The following is a 20221-nucleotide window of genomic DNA, read 5'->3' as shown; positions in this document are numbered from 1 at the left end:
AGGGCTTCCCAGGTGAGGCTCCCAGGCACTACATCTATGCCCTGTGGAGAGTAAGGATGGCAAGGGCAGTGGTAGGTAGGTGGGAGGCTGGGCTGGACCACTTCCCTGGGTAGTCCACATAGGTGAGCAAGTCTCAAGACCCTCAGTGGTGCCAGAGGTGGGAGATATGTGAAGGAGGTTTGTCTAGGTTGAAGGGGAGAGGGGACTTGAAGCCCTCTTGCTTGGAGCTATGGCAAATGCCTCGCTGCTCTCAACAGAGACCTGAACTTATCCCCAACAGCAGGGACTGGCAGGTACTGCTACTGTGAGGTAGCAGAACACCACTTTTAGTGAGCTAGGAATGAAAACAAACTAGGCATCTAGATATTTCTTAGGGACCTCAGTATATACTCTGTGAAAGTTGAAACCACTTCATTCTTCTTAACTTATTAGTGTGTAGGACATGTGTGTTTCCTAAAAATCATATTCTTAAGGGAGGAGGTGTTCCTATCCCTATTCAGTGGCAAAAAATTTCTGTCTCCTAAATACTCTAATCAGGTAAAAGTTCAGAATCAGATACAGCCACTGGGTCATTTTTTATTAGTGGGTGGTGTTATTTTCACTAATACATCTGAGCTGATGCTCTCTTGAACTTTCTGCTTCCATTCTCAAGAAGGCAGCAAACCCTGGTGGAGTTGGCCCCATAAGCCAAGACAGGTCATCTAGGTTTCCCTCTTTCCACCCTCTGGCAGCATACCATGGCAGGATTCAGAGTCCCTCCCAGGCCTGGCTCTCTTATCTGAGTGTGCAGGTTCCAAAATTCATATTCACAGGGATGAAGCCCATGTTCCAACCCTACTCACATGGGGCTGCTCTGGGGTTTAGGGCACATGGGCAACTACCAATAATAGGACAAAATTTGATTCCTTTCAGTGATTGTTCTTGGGTATAACTTCCTCAGCATCTCGTAAGAGAGTAGAGGTGATTTATGAGGTGAAAATCAGACATTCTTTCCCCCCACAACACCGTAATACTCTCCTCTGTCCTAACAGTGCATTTATTGCAAAGTGCTCCAACCATGCTAAACTAAGAGACAACTTACTGTGGTAGAAAGATGGGATAAGGCTTTAATATGAAGAAGCTCCTCATAGATAATCTCTAGGTCATCCACAGTCCTCTGGCCAGGTCTACAAAGATAAAAAAAAAAAAAGGAATATGGAAAAAGGGCATCACTAGGGCCTCAAACATGGAAACGGATCCAGGCATCAGTAACATGCTCAGGGATTTCTTCTGCACAAGAAGATATTGGCGGAGGGAGAGGTTGCACCAGTATAATGCCTAAAGGGATTTTTGAAATAAATGTGTTCCTTGATGAAAGGATATGGGAGAAAGCCAAAGTCCACAGGATCCCTTCTCTTCTGATCTCAGAGGGAAGAGCATCTCCACTCACATGGTAGTTGGCCAACTCATCTCTCACTTTGTAGATGATTGAGCTAAAAAACTGCTTTTCATTACCACCTTAATCAGTAATGGCAAAACTTGTCTTTTAACACCACTAGAAACAATTGGTATAATCAACTTGACAACTGATCTAAATTCCTTGAGATCCTGTGTACTATCTTAGCCTAGCAGAATAATAATGCCACTGTCACTATTATTTGGGGTTATAAAATGTATTTTTTCCGAAGGACTCAAATATAGGATGTATGCAGACTCAACATTTTCTTTTCTAGCCCTGAGGAGATAAGGGCATGAGATGAAGAGAAGGCAAATGGTAGCATCTGCGATTAGTAAGAGAAGGCAAGAAGGGAGGTATATTCCACATTCCCAAACTCTTGTTACAAAAACCACCACTGCCCACCAGATATTAATCAGTTTATGTAAAGCATTTTTATTCTAAAATTTATTATAAAACTAGTATCCAATAACATGCCTTCAAGGACTCAGTATATAATCTGTGAAAGTTGAAACCACTTCCTTCTTCTTCTTGAATTATTAGAATTATGTAGGACATGTGTAGGGTATGGGGGTGTTGTGGACATTTTTGGCACTGGAAGACTGAATAGATTCCTAATCACTTTTCGTATCTATAATTATTTTGAAATCATTCATAGTGTTTATATTAATGGTAGGAGATACAACTGGTCAGCAACTTGAATTTTTTGTTGCTTTCTGCAAAATAAAGAATCCTAACTAATATGTTTTTGAAACTTGAAAACAAACTAATGGGTTATTAATCCTGAGAGTTCTAGGGAGTCAACTGAGAGACAATGTATATATTGATGGCTAGGCGGCATTTACTCTCAGCTAATTGCTGCAGTTATGAATATTATCTATTACATAACCATCCATTTTGTGCATTTTGTCCTAAAATTTTAACAATTTATGGTATTATCCAATATTACTGTAATTATTACTAATTAAACATTAAACCCTTGATGAGCTACTGATGATGTACCATCATGACATTATCATTTATAAGGTGTTCCCTGGTCAAAGAAATTTGAGGAGTATTGGTGTACTAAACACAGCGCTAGATTTAGCGTCTGAAAATCAAGTTTAAAATCAGTGCAACCACTCACCAGCCATGTGACATCAAAGTCTTAGTCTCATATGAAAACTGGGGACAATATCTTTCTGAGAGAGATGTGAGAGCTAACAGAAGCAGCAACCATAAAGGTGTCTACATATTTATTTGTGTAAGTGAAAAAAACCCAGCAAAGTGATATTCAAAACTCAGACCTTTGCAGAAGCAGTTAAACAAACTTACAAATAAACTATGACATTTGGTCTGCTAGAGTACATCTGAAACTTAGCTGATTATTAGATAAGTACTCTTAGTAATCAAAACTGAATTATGAATATTCTAAAATAGTTAATTGGATTAAATAACTTTGCAACCATATTCTAACACGGGGAAGATGACAGATTTAGTGGAGTCTAATTGGAGGAAGAAAACTCTGCATACTTTGCACAGTACCTTCCCAAGGACAGTTTTAACGTGAACAAAAGAATATTATAACGTTCTCTTCTGGAATCAACAGGGGCTATCTTCCTAATCCTGACTGTATAAAGACAGATACTAAATCCACGACCCGGGAGATGCTAGCCAGGTTCACCTCCTGCTAAAGGTCACCACTGAGGGACACAAATGCACACCAATCTCGTGCTTATGGTGGAACCCAGAAAGTATGGGACCCATAAAGATGCTGAAGAAAAGCTGTGGCCACAGGGGCTCTAAAGGAGCCAGGCCTTCTCGGCCAGAGCCCTCATCTACTACTTGACTTGGACATGGGGATTTTGAAACTGGGACTCTTGGGGATTTAAAAGTCAATCGAGTCACCTTCATCCATCTACTACTATAGAGGCAGCTAATGCGAAAGTCTCAAGGTAGGCGTAATAGGATTATGGATCTTCAGCACAAGGAGCAGCCCTGCTGTTCTTGCTACTTGACATCAGCAGCAAATAACAGGGAACCCTCCTAGAAGCTTGGCTAAAAGAGAAAGCAGTCACCAAGTCTCATTCTCACCTCCATGGGGTGGGCTGTTACGGTGAGAGGAGAAAAGCTCAGCTGGGAAAAGAAAGGCTTAGAATTCCGCTCTAAAATCTGGACATATTCAAAGTTGTAATTTTGGGAGCAGATCTCTATGAGGTTAGGAAAAGTGTTTATATAATATAAATATGAGATCTGTATTACTCAACTTTTATGGATTTCTTTTTTAAAAATGCTATCCTGCCTGGGTGTGCTGGAACACACCTGTAGTCCCAGCACTTTGGGGGACCGAGGCAGGAGGATCACTTCAGGTCAGTTTGAGACCAGCCTGGGCAACAGAGTGAGACCCCGCTTCTGCACACACATACATAATGATGCTTGTTGGATCTACAAATCTCAACATATTAATAATATTGCATCTGAGATTTGAAACAGGATGAAGAACTGTCAGACCCTAAATACCATATACTAAAAATTTGACATCATGGTTCAAGGCTGACCTTTGAGCCGTAACAGCTAGTCTTAGGACCTGCACAAACTGTAGAAGAAGAGAGGTAAAGATGGCAGAATTCCAGCTCCTTTTGAACCATGTTCACTTTAACTGCTGCCCTCCACCACTAAGCATGCCTGAAGCTCTCTCCTCTCCCCATGCTCCTCCCCCTTGGCTCCCTTCCTGCTTTATTGAACATTTCTCCTCAATGTCTTTTTGGTTTGTTGTTCTTTTGTCCATCCCTTGTATTGTGTTCAGCCCCCAAGGCTTTGTTCTACCTTCTCTCCCTGGGAAAAACCCTCAACTTCCATCTAGATAATGACAAGACCTAAATCTTGTTCTCCAAACAGCCCTCTTTCCTGAGTTCCAAGGGCTTCCTGGCCATCTCTTCCTAGATAACTCACAAGGACCACCAGCTTAATCTATCTAGAAGTGCTCCCTCTTCATCACACAACGCTCCTGGAAACCAGATCTTAACTTCCTTCTCTAGACTCATCTATCTCCCCTCTCTTCACATCTTCCCTGATAGCTACACTCTCTCTCCAGCTATCCCAGGCATCTCTCCATTCCTCGAACACACTAAGCTTTTTCATGCCTGCAGGACTTTTTGCATGCTCTTCTCTTTGCTTAAAATACTTTTGTTCTGCCTCAAGCCCAGCTCAATGTCATCTTTCCTAAGTGAAACTGGCTCTCTGACCTTTCTTGCCCAGGCTGGAGTGCAGTAGTGTGATCTTGGCTCACTGCAAGCTCTGCCCCCCGAGTTTAAGGATTCTCCTGCCTCAGCCTCCTGAGTAGCTGGGATTACAGCCACATGCCACCACGTCTGGCTAATTTTTGTATTTTTTGGTAGAGACGGGTTTTCACCATATTGGCCAGGCTGGTCTCTTAACTTCTGACCTCAGGTGCTCCACCCGCCTTAGCCTCCCAAAATGCTGGGATTACAGGCATCAGACACCATGCAAGGCCACTCTCTAACATTTATTCCTCCGTGGCACATGGTCTTACTGCTATGGTAATTACAACATACTGTCACGAATGTTATTTGCTTAAATATCCATAAATCTAGACTGTTCTTCTCAAGAGAAGCAGTATCTGGTAGTGCAAAGGCACTAGATTGGAAGCAGAAACTGAATTTGAGATCTAAATCATGAACTTCCTAGTTGCTCAACTGATCTAATGACTTGTTTCTGCATCTGTAAAATGAGAATAATACATGGGATTGTTACAAAGGTCAAATCAGGTAATATACATGAAGCTTTGTATATACTGAAAATATAGTACAAATGTAGGGTGGTATTGTTATCAGGGTGGGTGTTTAATATGGCTCATCGTATGAGTGAACACACGAGTTCTCATGATTCATGCTGAATTTAGGGTCTGCCCAAGGGAGATGGCAGTGGTGCTATGGAGCAGTTCTTTTGCGTCCTGAGGGAGATGTGTCCTTATTCTCTGTTGTCCTTCCCACTGAGGTTAAGCAAGGCAAGGCATCCACGGCACAACTCACTTTTGGTACAGGACACATTTATTTCATGGCAAATAGTTAATTATTAATAGAGGGAGGAGATGTGAAAATGATGGGCCTCACCTCTTACTCCAAATTCTGTAAAATGATAGAAAAGGTCTATTTTTCTTAGGATTACAGATTTACTCAACTGTTTGTGAAAAATAAATTCCCATCTTAGACCAGCTAAAGATACTCAGTACCTATGTTGAGATCAGCGGGAGTTTAAATGGAAGTCCATTCAGGACCAACAAGCAGCACCTTGCTAATCTCTTCATTTTAGCCAGATTTTTGTCTGCCATGCTAAAGGTTTGGCAGAAAAGATATTTTAACATGCAAAATGACATTGGAAAACAAATGAGCAACACCACCACCACAAACGATGAACTATCAGCAGACCAGAAAGTTTTAGGAATTCCTGGATAATAGAGAGCAGACGAGAAAAGAATGTCTGAGAAACAAGAATGGAAGCAGCCGCAGCTCAACCCTCACAGAAGAAAACCATCACAGGAGTAAGACAGCATCACTGATAAGACAGCTCTGCGTCAATCAGCCCAGAGGGCAGGAGAGGGCGGTGTTAGAGGGGTTGATCAAAAGGCCCCACCACTTGGTCAGGCCCCTACCTTTCCACGCCTGTCACACTCAGTAGTGGACAGGGGCAGATTTACTGCCAGGCAAGACCTTGAGACCTGCTCTCTAAGACAGACGCCCCAGGAGGACTGAGGGTGAGCACTGGAGCCTGGGAGAAGCAGAACAGAGGGTGTGAAAACCCCAGGCTCTTCCAGGTGACACAGTAGGAGAAGAAGGCAGCTCTCCCAGGAAGAGCAGGGAAGGGCTCTGTTCCCAGGAAATCCTTGCTATTTTGGCAACTAGTGAGAGGAAAGGGGATGGTGTGAGCCTGCCTGCTCCCCAGGTACCTCTACCAAAGCAAAGCCTGCCAAGAAAACTGCCTCCTTGCAGGGACAGCCCCCAGCATTTCCAGGGGAAGCTCTGGGGGGGGTGTGACCACTACATCTGCACAGAAGCCCACGTGGGCAGCCTGCTTTACCTCCTGGTCTTTCATTCATCAACAACCCACGCAGAGAAAGAGAGGCTTCCATGGGGACTCCTGGATGCCTCAGAGAGGTCCACAACAGCTGTTCGGGACTAAAGGGAACAAAGCCTAAAAACAGTTTAGTTTCTGAATCCTAAACAACATTCAAGCTGCAAAGAAAAAAAGAGAAGCACAGCAAGAACAAAACCCCAACCCTGTGGTCTGAGGTGGTCACAACAATCACACAGCAAGCAACTATCATTTGGCAATCCACCCAGGCAGCAAAGAACTTTTTGGTCCTGTTTACAGCCAATGTTTTAATGATGTGAGAGAAGTCAGGACTGCCAGGTGTGAAGAGACTTACTTTAAAAAATGAGTATATACACAGCTAGCAAAGCAACAAAAGCACTCATGAGAGATTTGCTGTGAGCTAGGACACTGTCCCTCAGGGGCCTCAACATGTCATTAGGATTGAAAGTTGAGGTGAGTCCCAGGGAGGAGGCCAGGTGGAGCAAAAGTCAGTCTGGTCAACCTGTGCCCACCAAAGTGCATCAAAATGGAGCCCCCTCCCACCCTAGTGGGGGCTCAGTGTTCGTGGCAGCAGTAACAGAAACCAGCCCAGCCTCTCGGAGGCTGCTGGCTCGGAGCTGCTGTGCCATCTAGTGTCTCAGAAAAGGCTCACCTCTCTACTCTCACATCAGACAAAGGTTCTCCCCCAATCCACCCCACCCCTCAAAGAGCACCTGATCACATCTAAAACTGAGCGTTCCCCACCACAATCACTGAACAAAGTCGCATTTTAAAAGCAGGTTTCTCTTGGCAAACAGTGGCATTAAGCACCTTTCCTGCTTTGGTCTTTACGGGGGTGACAGGGGAAAAAAAATGGAGAAGAGATCCTGTAAATCAGCCCCCAGACTGTTCAAACAGTAATGAAAGGGTCCCAAGGACTGAAGGCAATCTGGCTTTCAAGAGTAAAGGGAACACTGTGCCCGAGCAGGAGGAGAGAACTCCCATGCACCTTCATAAGAGTAACCTACAAGGCTGGGGAAGTGAATTGACTCTCTGGCTGCTCTGAGTGGCAGCCGGTGAATGTACCTGGTCTTTACTTGTCCTTCTCCAGATGACACAGGGAGAGATATTAGGCATCCCTGCTTCTTTACAAATCTGCGTGGTGCCACATTGATGTGGATTTGTCGGATCCCGCTGTGGAAAGGCCTAGTTTCTGCAGGGGATGCATTCTGGCAGCAATGTCTAGTTACAGACAAGATAATAAATGGGGATGGATAGGGAAGCAGTTTATACATTAAAGGATGGGAGGGCTCAGGTGATATTGGAAGCTACTGGTAAATACAGTTTTATCAAGGAATTTATCAAGGTCAGAGACAGAGCTTCTCAGTTATTGGAACATGGATAAAATGAGGGATTCATCCAGCCATCAAGCAGCACATTGGCATGGCCCATAGTAAAATATGCAGGTAAGAAAGCAAATATTCCAGTCCTTTAGACCTGTCACCTAGCAGACCTTGGTACAAGGGGAAAACACCCGGAGAAATCAACATTATAAATATCTACATAAGCCATGGTCAAGCTTCGAGGTTTCTAAAATAAATGCTCTATTTTTTTGTGTGTGTGGGGTGGGGGATGCTTTATTTTTGATGCAACGCTTCATCTCAATCCACCTGATTCTCTAACTTTTAAGTCCTTTCTCAAACTTGGACCATTTTCCCACACTGTTAAGATCTTAAGATCTCGCTTCTTCCACTTCCCTTAAAGGAAAGTTTAGTGCAGTTTTGCACTTCCTTGTCTAGCAAAACCAGCAAAGCATGTTTTTTCTTTGCCTCACCTCTCAGGACCCCTGCTTCTTAAGTGTCAGAGACATTCCAGGAACCTGGTGACTGCACATTTAAAGTGTCCTACCCAGCTCCGACTGCTCAGCTCCCTGCCATGCCACCACCCCCTCACCTTATCTTTAACCCCAAAAAGGACGTTTTAAGTTCCCTTTCTAGTCCTAATAGCAGAGCTTGTGTACACAGGGATCCTTTTCTGCTTTGTGAAGTTAGAAATGAATACAGTCTATAACTGCAATAAAGGGCAAAAGCTTTATGAATACTTGTGAGAAATGAAGTCATCCCTGTCAGGACATGGGATAAGGGTTCCATAATTCATGGCTTCTGAGTGCTAAGTGTTTTTAGGACAATGTGGTTTGATCACATTTAGAAACTGTATATGCCCAGCATTCTTCCAGCAAAAGTGTTTACTACAAGGACACTCAAGAGTTTAACATTAAATCTTTTAAAAGGTACAAGTACAAATATTTTCCTTTAAAACACCTAAGCAACAAGTTGAGAAGAACAAATAAATTTGGATGGAGTCAGATAGTATAACTGCTTGCCTTTGAGGATGAAATATACATATGAGATGGAAAATGCAAATGTTTTTTGAGAAGGTGCTACATGAATGCATTGTTACTTCTTCCTTGCAAAATGTCAATTCTTAATTAATCAGGGACATAGATTATCCATATTTTGTGGTTATTTCACTGCTTATTCAGTAAATTCACTAGTGAGGACACACTTGAGGCAACCTAGGAGAGAGGAAATAATATTGTCAATGAAAGAAAAAAAGAAGAAATAAAATTGGACTTGGAGTAAGATTTGGATCAGTTCCTGGTTCAGCCACGTATACTGCTGTGTGATGTTGAGAAAGGCACTTGGTATTGATTAAGCTCAATTTCTTTGTCAGGACATAGTGGATTATCATGAGCCATACTTAATTCACAGAGCTTTTTAGTGGTTCAAAGAGGGGACGGATGTGAGACCACTATATAAACTATACAGTGGTATTCAAATATTAGTGATTAAGTTTTGTTTGTGGTTCTGGCTAGAGGGTTGCTGTGGAGTAAATTGACTCTTTCCAGAGCTGTGGGTTTTCAGTGTTTTTTATGTGATCTTTAGACTAAATTTTCCAGCAAGTCTTCAAAAGAGCTGTGAAGAGAGGCAGATTAATTATAAGTTGGGTGCCGGATTTGGCAAATAAAAATATTGCATGAAATATACTTATATCAGAACATTGTTTGTTATTCATCTGAAATTCCAATTTAACCGGGCATCCTGTATTTAACCTGGCAACCCTAATCATATGGCAATTAAAACTATAAAGCACTTCATTTCTGTGCAATCAGTTTGACAATGGATTGTAAAACTTTAGACCCATATGGCCCGTTGGATTCTGCTCCTGACAATACATAGTAAAACTCAGGACATAAGACAAAAATAAAAGAATTATAGGTTCCAGAAGCATGTAACTCCCTCAGGAAAGAATAATCTTCATCATCATTTTAACCCATTATGGATTAGCAGCACGCCTGGGAATCTGCCATACTAGAGGACTTTTTTTCCACAGTAGATGGTGAACTCCATTCTGGTCTATATGGTAATAATTTAATGAAATTAGATTAGTCTGTAATAATAATTTTATTTTTTTGAGATGGAGTCTCACTCTGTTGCCCAGGCTGGAGAGCAGTGAGATGATCACGGCTCACTGCAGCCTCCACTTTCTAAGCTCAGGTGATTCTCCCACCTCAGCCTCCTGATAGCTGGGATTACAGGCATGCACCATTACGCCTGGCTGATTTTTGTATTTTTTGTAGAGATGGGTTTTCGCCATGTTGCCCGGGCTGGTCTTGAACTCCTGGGTTCAAGTGATCTGGGTGCCTCAGCCTCCCAAAGTGTTAGTACTATAGGTATGAACCACCACACCCAGCCTTGTAAGAATTATTTTAAATTGGATTTCCCTGACACCTTTCCTTTCCAATGCTCAAAGCATAAACCCATGAGTCCATTCTGAAGCCCCTTTGGACGATGGCAGGTTATGGTAGTGCACAGTAAAGAGCACAGGCTCAAGAGTCAGGCAGATCTGAGTTGAATCCTGAGTCTAGTGTTTTGTGGATAACCATAGGCAAGTGACTCAGCCTAAGCCTCTGTCTCCTTGTCCATAAAATGGGAGTAATGTTAAATAACTACCTCAGAGTTTTGTTGAAGGAATTGAATTAAGTAATTGTTTAGCACAGTGTCTAGCACACAGATGCTCGATAAATGGTGGCTATAGTTAAATTCAGTTGGCACTTGTGTTTTCATTTCCAATCTATTGTGAAGTAGGGAGAGGGCAAGCAGGTATTATTGAATTCCTTTTATACCTTAAGAGACTTGTAATCTGAAGATGTTAGATGATATAATGATAAACTGGTAAGAATAGAACCCAGAGCTCTTGTGCTCAGTAGTATTTTCACTTCATTTACAAGACTCTTGGGTCAAATGCACGTATCTCAAAGGCTGTCATTTCAAACTATAACAAACATAATCTCATAAAACTCAGTATCTGGCTTTCTGTCTTTAGTTGGCCCCTCCAGTCTATTCTCTGGAGATAGCAGAGAAACCAACCTACTACAAATCTGATCACACCACACCTCTCTCTAAAACTCTTCAGTGGTGCCCCAAATGACTATAAAATAATACCCAACGTACACAGAGGGCATGGCAGATGCCCCCACTGACGTCAGCCTAACTCTCCAGCTGCATCTCCTAGTGCTCCTGTCCGGTCACTCCCTTGGTGTGAAACAGTTTACAGTTCCCTGCGGGAACTTTCCCAGCATCTTTCTGCCCCACCTGTGCCCCTATCTGGCTAGGAGCTCTTCCTTTGTTCTGGGAAGAAGAGTATTAAAATATTATTTTTTTGCTGCTCTTAAGAAGAAAGGTGCTCGGCCCAGTGGCTCATGCCTATAATCCCAATACTTTGGGAGGCTGAGGTGGGAGGATCGCTTGAGTCTGGGAGTTCAAGACCAGCCTAGGCAATATAATGAGACCTTGTCTCTATAAAAAACTAAAAAATTAGCTGAGCATGGTGGCATGCGCCTGTAGTTCCAGCTACTCGGGAGGCTGAGGTGGGAGCACCACTTGAGCTCAGGAGGTGGAGATTGCAGTGAACTGAGATCACCCCACTGCACTCCAGCCTGGGTGACAGAGTGGGACCCTGTCTCAAAAAAAGAAAAAAAAAAAAAAAGAAAAAAAAAGGGGCTTGAAAAACAACCTAAACATCCAACGATCACAAACTGAATGCATTAAAGAACATTCAGAGAACACACCTATTTAAAAGCTCCATCCTTAAAGGATATTTAACTTTAAGAGAGAATGCTGTGATATGTTATTAAGTGTAAAAAGTTAGGAATTAAAAAATAACTAAAGGGATAGGCACCAAAATGTTAACAGTAATTAACTGAGACATGTGATTGCAGGTATTTTTTCTTCTTTTTTAACTCTTGTCAGTGGTTTCCAAATTTTCTCCAATAAAGAGATCGACTTTAGCAATAAAAAGTCATTAAAACCTTGAGGCAATCTTATAATAAACTCTAAACTGTAGATGAGCAGCTAAGTTCATCCTCCCCTCTCCTGAATCTTAATCATAAAGGTAGCAATCCAATGGCTGGTTTCAGGCCATGTGGATATGAGGAATAAGAATAAATTGCTTTCATGGGGAGAGGCAGAGAAATGACCTACTTAATGCAATCATTTATTCAGGTAAATTCTACAAGCTTTCACTTGTGACGCCAAAATCTTTCCAGTAAAGACCAAGGTGAAGGTCACCATGCAGTGAAGGAAGGATTCGCCGTGACTGTCTTACTTCAGAAGCCTAGGTTCTTTCGGTCGTGCTTTTCTTCTCATCTGATTAACATTTGAGATGAACTTCGTAACTGTGGACATTCTCTTGACACATCCCAGCAGAAATCAAAACCCTAACCACCACCAATTTTAGGCTTGCTAATCTGGAATCCCCCGAAGAAACAAATCCCTCTATAATTACCAGGATTTTAAATTCCACACCCTGGAAAAGAGTTTAGACAAATAAAGATCCTATTAAAACAGGCACTGCTAATTAAGACACAATACACAGGCTCTCACGCGCCCTCTAGAGCAAGTGTGTGGAATCGAACAGCAGCAGGGTAGTCTCCACCCAGCCTCTGCAGGACAGCCTTGCATTAGGGCAGCCAATTAAGGGATAAACAATACCCTCCCCACCCCCGCCCACAGTATTTTGCCTTTATGTCATTTAATCCATCTTAAATTGTTGCCTTTCAACTTTACGCCCTATAGCATATGTTTGATATGAAGCCAATATATCTCACGTTTCCATATTTCTTAATGCCTTAGCAGAGTATGGGCAATAAGAAAACAAACAAAAAAACCATTTCCAGGACCTTTGAACATGCTCTCAGTTTTCAGGAGCAAGGTGTGTTCAGATGGTCTCTTCAAGACAACAATGATACTGGCAATTCTTGACCAACGAAGCTTGTTTTCTTTCCGTTTAAGTAAAATTAAATAGTAACTCCAAAGATTATTAGCAGATCAAAAAAAAAATGGGGTATGTGTGTACGTGCATGTAGAGTTGGACTGTCTGTCTCCTAAAATTAGATTCCTTACTTTTCACTTTCCCATCTCTCAGAGCTCTTATTCCAGCAGAAAGAGTCAAAAGAAGAAACTGCCAGCCCAATTCCAATGTTTAAAAAGTTTCAAAAAACCTAGGGAGATGGGAAAAATCCCAAGGGCAACTGAAATATTAATTTATCACATAAAATAAACGAACTCAAGTTTGTGTGTTTCTGACCCAGTTGGAAGATTCCCCAACTTCTAACAATTCTCTTATATATACATATATTTCTCTCTGCTCGGGCCCAAATGACTTTTCTCTTTCTCAACTTACTTAGGCTTCTACTGTTAGGCATTTTCAGAACTGCAGACCTAAATTTTGATTTGGGAAACAGTGTCTACTTAACTGTCCTCCCAACTTTAGGCTGGTCTCTGATAGACCATCCTGAACATTGGAACCTATGTCTCACTTTACTTGGAAGGAGTGGTTGGAAGGCTTGTACAGCAGAGCGTCCTGTCTCCTTGAAGCCTCTTTTTTATCCACAGTTGGCCTCAAGTTTACAATACTCTGTTTACCTAGTCACTCCAGATCCTTTTACTCATATTTCTCTAACCAAAGTACCTGCTCAAAGAAAGCCAAAATGCACATTTCTACTGGTAAGAGTACCCATTATATCTACTTGCTATAGGGCAACCTCTTGTTTTTAGATTTATAAACAAAGCAAAATCAAAACAATAAGCTTGGAGAGCTCATTCAGTGTTTGATGGCCCTGTCTCAGAGCTACAACAACAGCACCGTCAAACTGTCATCGTTCTGTAGCACTTGCCCCCAAATGCCATCCAGGTCTGCACCTGCGAAACCAGGACGGGCATTGTGAGTCACTCTGTCTGCCACCACATAAAAAGCTAATTTCACATGCAGAATGTATGTGTTTTTTTTCAATACCAATAGCAACAAGAGTGTGCCAAAAAATTTCCCCTGAAGCTCTATTCTGTTTTTTAAACTACAGAACATTCTTTCATAGTTTGACAGTTAAAATGCTGCAGTTAATGTAATAAACAGAGAATTTTTCTAAGTAGCCTGTCAAAACAAGTGACACTTTTTTTTTTTGCTAGCAAGTCTCAGATTCAGAACAATAGGAAGTACCTTTCAAAGCAACATCTTCATTATACAATCAAATTCTCAAAGTAATCTTCTCATCAAAGAATATTGTGTTATTTCTTTCCCAGTAATTATCAGAGTTCTGCAACCTCTCTGGCAGTGGTGACTATTATAAAATGCAGCCGTGCTGAGTTTAAAAGTTGGGGGTCCTGCCCTGGTCAGTATGAAGCCAATGCATCTCATGCCTCCACATTTCTTAATGACTTAGCACTTTCGGCAGTAGAAAGTCAACATTTCCAGGACCTCTGAACATGCCCTCAGTTTCCAGGAGTGAAGTGCTTGGTTGGTCCCTTCAAGGACAGTAGTGATACTGGCAATTCTTGATCAACTAAGCTTGTTTTCTTTCCACTTAAATAAAGTAGTAGCTCCAAAGATTATTAGCAGATCAAAAAAAAAAAAAAAGGGTGTGTGTGTGTATGTACATGTAGAGTTGGAATATCTGTCTCCCAAAATTAGATTCCTTATTTTTCACTTTCCCATCTCTCGGGAGCTGTTATTTCAGCAGAAAGAAAACTGAAGAGTTCCAGAAGTGCCAGCCCAATTCCAACGTTTGCAAAGTTTCGAAAAACCTAAGAAGATGGGAAAATCCCAAGGCCACCTGAAATCATGTATCTTGGAATATTTGTAAAACCTGTACTTTAACAACTAGCGATATAATGGAAGAGTGTCAGTTTTGGAATGTAATATTCTGTGAAGAATCTGGGCTGCCAGGGATCATGCGATTCAATGGTGTATGGACAATAAAAGGAAGCACAAGCAGCGACTCCCATTTCTCCCAAGGTGACTCATGAAAACAAGCTCTCATGTCTCTTGAGAAGGCTAAATCAAACAATTAGCATGAATGTTCCTAGCATACAGCAGGCACTCAATTGATGATTGTTGGATCTTAATCTAATTTGGGGATTCCTCTCCCACTGAATTATAAACTCCCCAAGGGCAGGAGCCATTTCAAAAACATTTGTGAATCAGATGGCATTTTTGCCTCCCTTGAAGCAAGTAAGAGCTGAGGGAACATTAGCTGGGACTGTGTATTCACACTTCCATTCATTCATTCATTCATTCACTCACTCAGCAAAGGTTTACTGATGGCTTATGTGGTGTAATGCACAGAGCTAGGGATACGGCCTTACTAAGTTCCACACCAGGTTAAACCCTCCTCCACATTAGGCTGTGCCAACACACACTACATCTTCCTCCATAGCATGTAATGCAGCTGTGATTAAATGATTGCTTGCATAAGTAGTTGCTTAATCCTCTGCCCTAGACAGAAAACTCCAAGGAGGAGAAGCCTTCTTGTTCAATGTTTACCTTAATGCCTTAGCACCTAACATAGTATCTAGAACAATGTAGGTACTCAATAAATGAACAAATGTAGTAAAATGAGATCTGTCTTTGCCTTTAAGAAACTCATGGTTGACTGCAATATTTCTCCACACGGGCATTGTTCTCAGGACAGCTCTTTATTGTGTTGGGTTCCTAGGTACTGCAGTGTGTTTGGCAGCCCTTGGTCCTAGCCACTGCCCAGTGAGTGCTAGCAGTGGGCCCCCTCCTGTGCTTTGACAACAGCCCTTAGGGGGCTGTCCCACCTTGATTCAGAACCACTGCATATGTTGGCTTGGATGCAGGTGGCAGCAAGGAGGACAGCAAAAAGGGGATGGACCCAGGAAATGATGAGGAAATATGCAGGAGGGACAGTGGGACAAGAGGGGACAAGAAAGAAAACATGGCTTAAAATGGTGGTGTTCATCTGAGTTCCCCAGGCCCCAGGGATTCTCTTGTGCCCCCTCAGCCATGCTCTCCTATGATCCTTCAGGGCAGAGAAAGCATACATTGGCTGGGCAGGTTTCTTGGACCCCACTCCTGCTTATGTCAGTGAAGCTCTAGCTTTGTTTGATGTTTTGGATTTTCCTGTTCATCTTTTTATGTGAAGAAAGGGTTTTGAGGCTTACAGAGCTGAAGAGTGTGGTTCTAGAGTTAAGGATGATGGTATCTGCTGGGATGAGGGGAGGCCTTTGAAACACATGGTGTGGGAGAGTCAGACCCATGAGAAAGTTTTGACAAAGGGGACAACCCTGAGTAAGGGCAAGTCAAAGAATCCTGGGGAAGGGAAATTAAAGTGCCTTCAGAGAGGCTACTGTGGGTTGGTCTGAGGGGCAGCCTCTGGGGAGGCTGGCCTGAGGGACACTTCACTCTTGGAAAGCACCCAGCAGACATCCAGGACATGTAACATGTAATGCCCTTGTCTAATACAAGACTAATACACCAAGGTCGGCCAAACATGACTCAGAGCTGACATCCACAGCTGGCCGACGCTGGCTGTGGGGCAGAGGGCGTCTTCATTTCCAGCCAAAAAACACAAGCCTGTGTGGTGGTTTCGGATGCAAGGGCCAAGTCACCGCTAACTGAAAAGGTTTCCCTGAGGATCAGGACCACATGTATGCTTCTTTATATGCCCCATAGCAATTTGTGGAGTGCCCTGCATCAAACGGGGGCTTAATAATACATTCTTTCTGAGTGGATCTGATTAAACATTTCAGAGTCCACAATTGCAGGTGGTGGCCTGCTCCTGAAGGTAAGGTGGGTTCAGCTGAGACAGAAGGGAGAGACTGCCTCAGTGGCTCAATGGGGGCCTTGACAGGGGTAATGCAGTTGTGGTGTGCTCAGAAGAATGAGCTTTAAGCTGAAGAACAGAAGCCTCAGAGGTGGGTAAGAGCATGTGCTGAATGAGTGAAGGAACAAATGAATGCAGGCCTAGGCATGAAGGCTATGGTCCTGATGACCTCTGTCCTGTTGCATTAGGGAGAAAGGTGCTGCCACAGGCTGGCATAGAAACAGAGCAGTTTCTGTTTGTCATTGACCAAAGGTCATTTAATATGGGGACTCAGTTTTGACAGCCGGAGCCAACTACTGACAACCTCTACAGCTTTAACTCATGCAAATGGAAAATGGAGCCATCTGGATCAAACACAAAAATTAAAATAACAGAGACAAGCACTGCTGTGGCACCCTTCAGCTGCTCCCTTTTGTTCCATGGGGGATGGCCAGGGCTTTTGAGAGCAGCCTTGTGTCTCTCCTCATGGTATGTCTATGCACTAGGCGGCCTTGGGACCTGGAGGGGTGAGCCACGAGCTCTCACTCACGGTTTGCGAAGGATCATCCTCATGTGGGCGTCGGGGCCCATCTGTGACAGCAGCAGCATGGTGTCCTGGAGCTCCTCATCACACTCCTTCTTCTCCTCCTCAGTAGGCAAAGGGGCATCCTCGTGCTCATCATCCAGAAATCGATAGAATAAATATTTGTCTTGGAAATGGTGCTCCTGGTCCACTATGGGAAACATGGAAGCACGTGTCAGCTGCAGCACCTCGGCCTCACAGCTCCGTTTACTAGAAACAAATGCAGAGTGTCAGGCAGGAGGGCCAAGTGGCAGCAAAGCCGGGAGCCTCCTCGCCCTTCTCACTCTGCCCTGCCCAGACTGTGCAGCTGGAAGACATGACCTCGGGGCTGCAGTCATGCACACCACAGCCCTCTCTGACCCACCCATCTCCTCGGCCTCTGTGGGACTCCCTTTGAGGACCTGCCAGCATTTCTCAGATGAACACTTTGACCTGCAGAAATCGTCTTCCTGATATTTTCTAGGATGTGGGACCTGTGTCCCAAACAGGAAAGGAACCAACTGCCAGGTCATGTTCTGTCACAGCTTTGGAAAGTACAGGCTTTGAAAACAATCTGCCTTGTCAGGATCAGAATTTATGTTATTCTTTCTATATGTACTGTTTATCAACTGTACTGTCTGCACTCTGGAAAAAAATGTTAGTATAAAATTAGTTGTTTGAACAAAGCTGACCAGACCAGGTTTCTAGATCATATACTGCTAGAAGGATTTTGTGGTAATTTTCTTCCAAATCTGATGTCTTAAAGTTTTTTCCTCTTGTTCCTTTAAACAGGATTTAAATCTCGGTAGGACAAAGACAATGAACGTGGCTCAGAATCCCTCATGTACATGTCTTACAGCCTTGAGCCCCTTTTCAGGATGGAGCATCAATACTCTCAAAAGGTAAAGACAAGCAGTAGATCCCTTGCTGCTCAAAGGGCGATTCCTGGAGGAGCAGCAGCAGCAGCATCTGGGAACTTGTTGGAAATACAGACTCTAAGTCCATTCCAGACGAGCTACATCAGAATCTGCACTTTAACAAGAGTCCCAGGTGACATGTATGCACATTAAAGTATGAGAAACGCTGGCAAAACCATTACTAGATTCCCAGGTGTTGGTAAATGAAATGAATGTTTTTAATATTTTGTCTGTTTGGAAGTGTCTTAAACAAATGGCATAAGAGTTTGGCCAGAGTTACACACCAGTCCTGAAGAGCTACTCTGTTCAATTACAGCCCCTGCAGTTATCAAGAGCCACAATTGCAGAGCACATTCTTGATTTTAAATATGGTCATCCTGTGGGTATACAAATTGGCTCTCCCAGACAGCGGCACAATTAAAAGGCAGCTTCCGAATTCATTACTTACTTTCATGTCATCAGCCCAGCCACACACTTCACTGCTCTTCATTCTGCCCCTGCATCAGGATTGCTATGCACTGCTCAGAGTATAATCACGCTATCAATGAACCGTGAATGCAAACTAATAAACATAATTGGAACTGATGCACTCGGGCTGCAATTTCATTTTCCTTTCATACATTCTCCCAAGTTAGGAAGGTACAATGGTGGAACATAGCAATCAATAGCATCTACTTGCTGCATTTGTATTGCTAAATGAAGATGCTAGCTCTGCAGGTCCCTAAAGGGATCGTAATTCTTTCTTGCCCATTCAAGAGTTCAGCAACTACTTACCCAGGGAAATGCACTTAGCATTTCTTGAGAGGTTTCCAGGGACTGGGGCTCATCTTACCGTGGTTGAGAACACCATCTTCTAACAGGACTTGCCACATGCCAACAGCTTGAGTCCGGGAGTGAACACATGGTGTCTGCTGCATCATCCAGTCCACCAGTTCAGTTCCCACACAGCATTGTCTAAGGAGAGGTGAGACAGAAAGGGTGGGGAAGTCACCCCTTTTCAGATAGAGGATGGGAGATGGCTTTTGAGAGGAAAACCTACCAAAGGGCTTAATGATCTCCTACCAGAAGAGGTCTCATGGCAAACAAAGCACCACACGCGGTAGCTTCAGGTTCTCAAATGCTAATACAAGCCAAAAAAGCCACTCAGCTCATGAGAGAACTTTAAAGCAAGGCTGGTTAAATGAAAGCATTACAACTTGTAGCACCAGGGGAGACCAGGGGGCCGCTAGAGGGGGAGATTGTCTGGCAAGCTAATCAGAGGAACAGAAACTGTCCTAGTGAGCCGGTCCCAGAAAATCTCAGTGCAAGATGGAGGCAAAGCAAAATACATACTGACTCTCTCCACCTGAGTCTCGTGCCGAATGAGTTAATGTTTATGAGGCACTCAGAGGTGCTATGAAAGGCACCGTATAAGTGCAAAATTATATAGCACTTTATATTTTCAAGTAATACTACTGATCTTCCTTGGAGGGGTGTTGGGAGAAACAAGCAATTAGCAATGCAAATCTCTTTGAAAAAGTTCTGTGTAATGAGCATTAGCACTTCTCCAGAGCCTGTCATCTGAAGAGCTCCACATGCTTTCTGGCTTCCTGTATATTCACACATTAGTCCCCAAGATGCCCTTCTGTGGTGAGTTGGTCTGGATAAGCAAACTGCATACATTAGTTAGGAAATGCATAAGTATATACACTCACATATTTGGGAATACAGAAATTCCCCATGGGGTGAGAGAAGGGGGCAGGTATCCACAACATGATGGTTCAAGAGAGGAAATAGAATCTTGAAGTCCTAGTGATGGCTCAATCCCAAGGGATGATGGAACAAGGCAGGGAGTCACAGAGCAGCTGGCTGCCTGCAGCTGGGACTGAATCACTGGTGGCCTCCCTTCTCATACTAAGCACAGCACCACCTCTGGGGCACGGGCTAAGGAGCTCCTCTCTAGTTGAAATTGGAGGAGACTCATGGTTCTGTGCCACTTTGGGAACAATCTTGAAGTGGCGGGAGACATGAGATACAGAACTAGGTCTGCTACTTAGCTATGTGACTTTGGCCACATGGTTTCAACTCTCTGGTTC

At 43.2% G+C, this 20221-nt stretch overlaps 1 protein-coding gene across 30 annotated transcripts in view; it reads right to left on the bottom strand.

Annotated features, from left to right (window-relative positions):
* The window catches only part of RAPGEF4 (Rap guanine nucleotide exchange factor 4), a 317576-nt gene that overhangs the window by 68232 nt on the left and 229123 nt on the right, over positions 1–20221 (bottom strand). For 28 of the 30 annotated variants that reach the window (NR_164739.1, NR_164740.1, NR_164741.1 and 25 more), the window contains 3 exons: positions 18979–19100; positions 17218–17401; positions 1082–1166 (listed from right to left, as the gene is read on the bottom strand). Coding sequence is in view for 27 of the 30 variants with exons in the window: in XM_047443030.1 (XP_047298986.1) it covers positions 1082–1166; positions 17218–17401; positions 18979–19100 (391 nt within the window). In the remaining 3 variants the exon portion in view is untranslated. Of the gene's footprint in view, positions 1–1081; positions 1167–12043; positions 12374–17217; positions 17402–18978; positions 19101–20221 lie in introns of those variants that run through there. The other 2 variants (NM_001375875.1, NM_001375876.1) reach the window with 1 other exon arrangement.

This window comes from Homo sapiens, chromosome 2 (assembly GCF_000001405.40).
Source record: "Homo sapiens chromosome 2, GRCh38.p14 Primary Assembly".
Lineage (NCBI taxonomy): Eukaryota > Metazoa > Chordata > Mammalia > Primates > Hominidae > Homo > Homo sapiens.
Note: the sequence above shows the minus strand (reverse complement) of the source record. Positions and strands in the feature narration are given on the sequence as shown.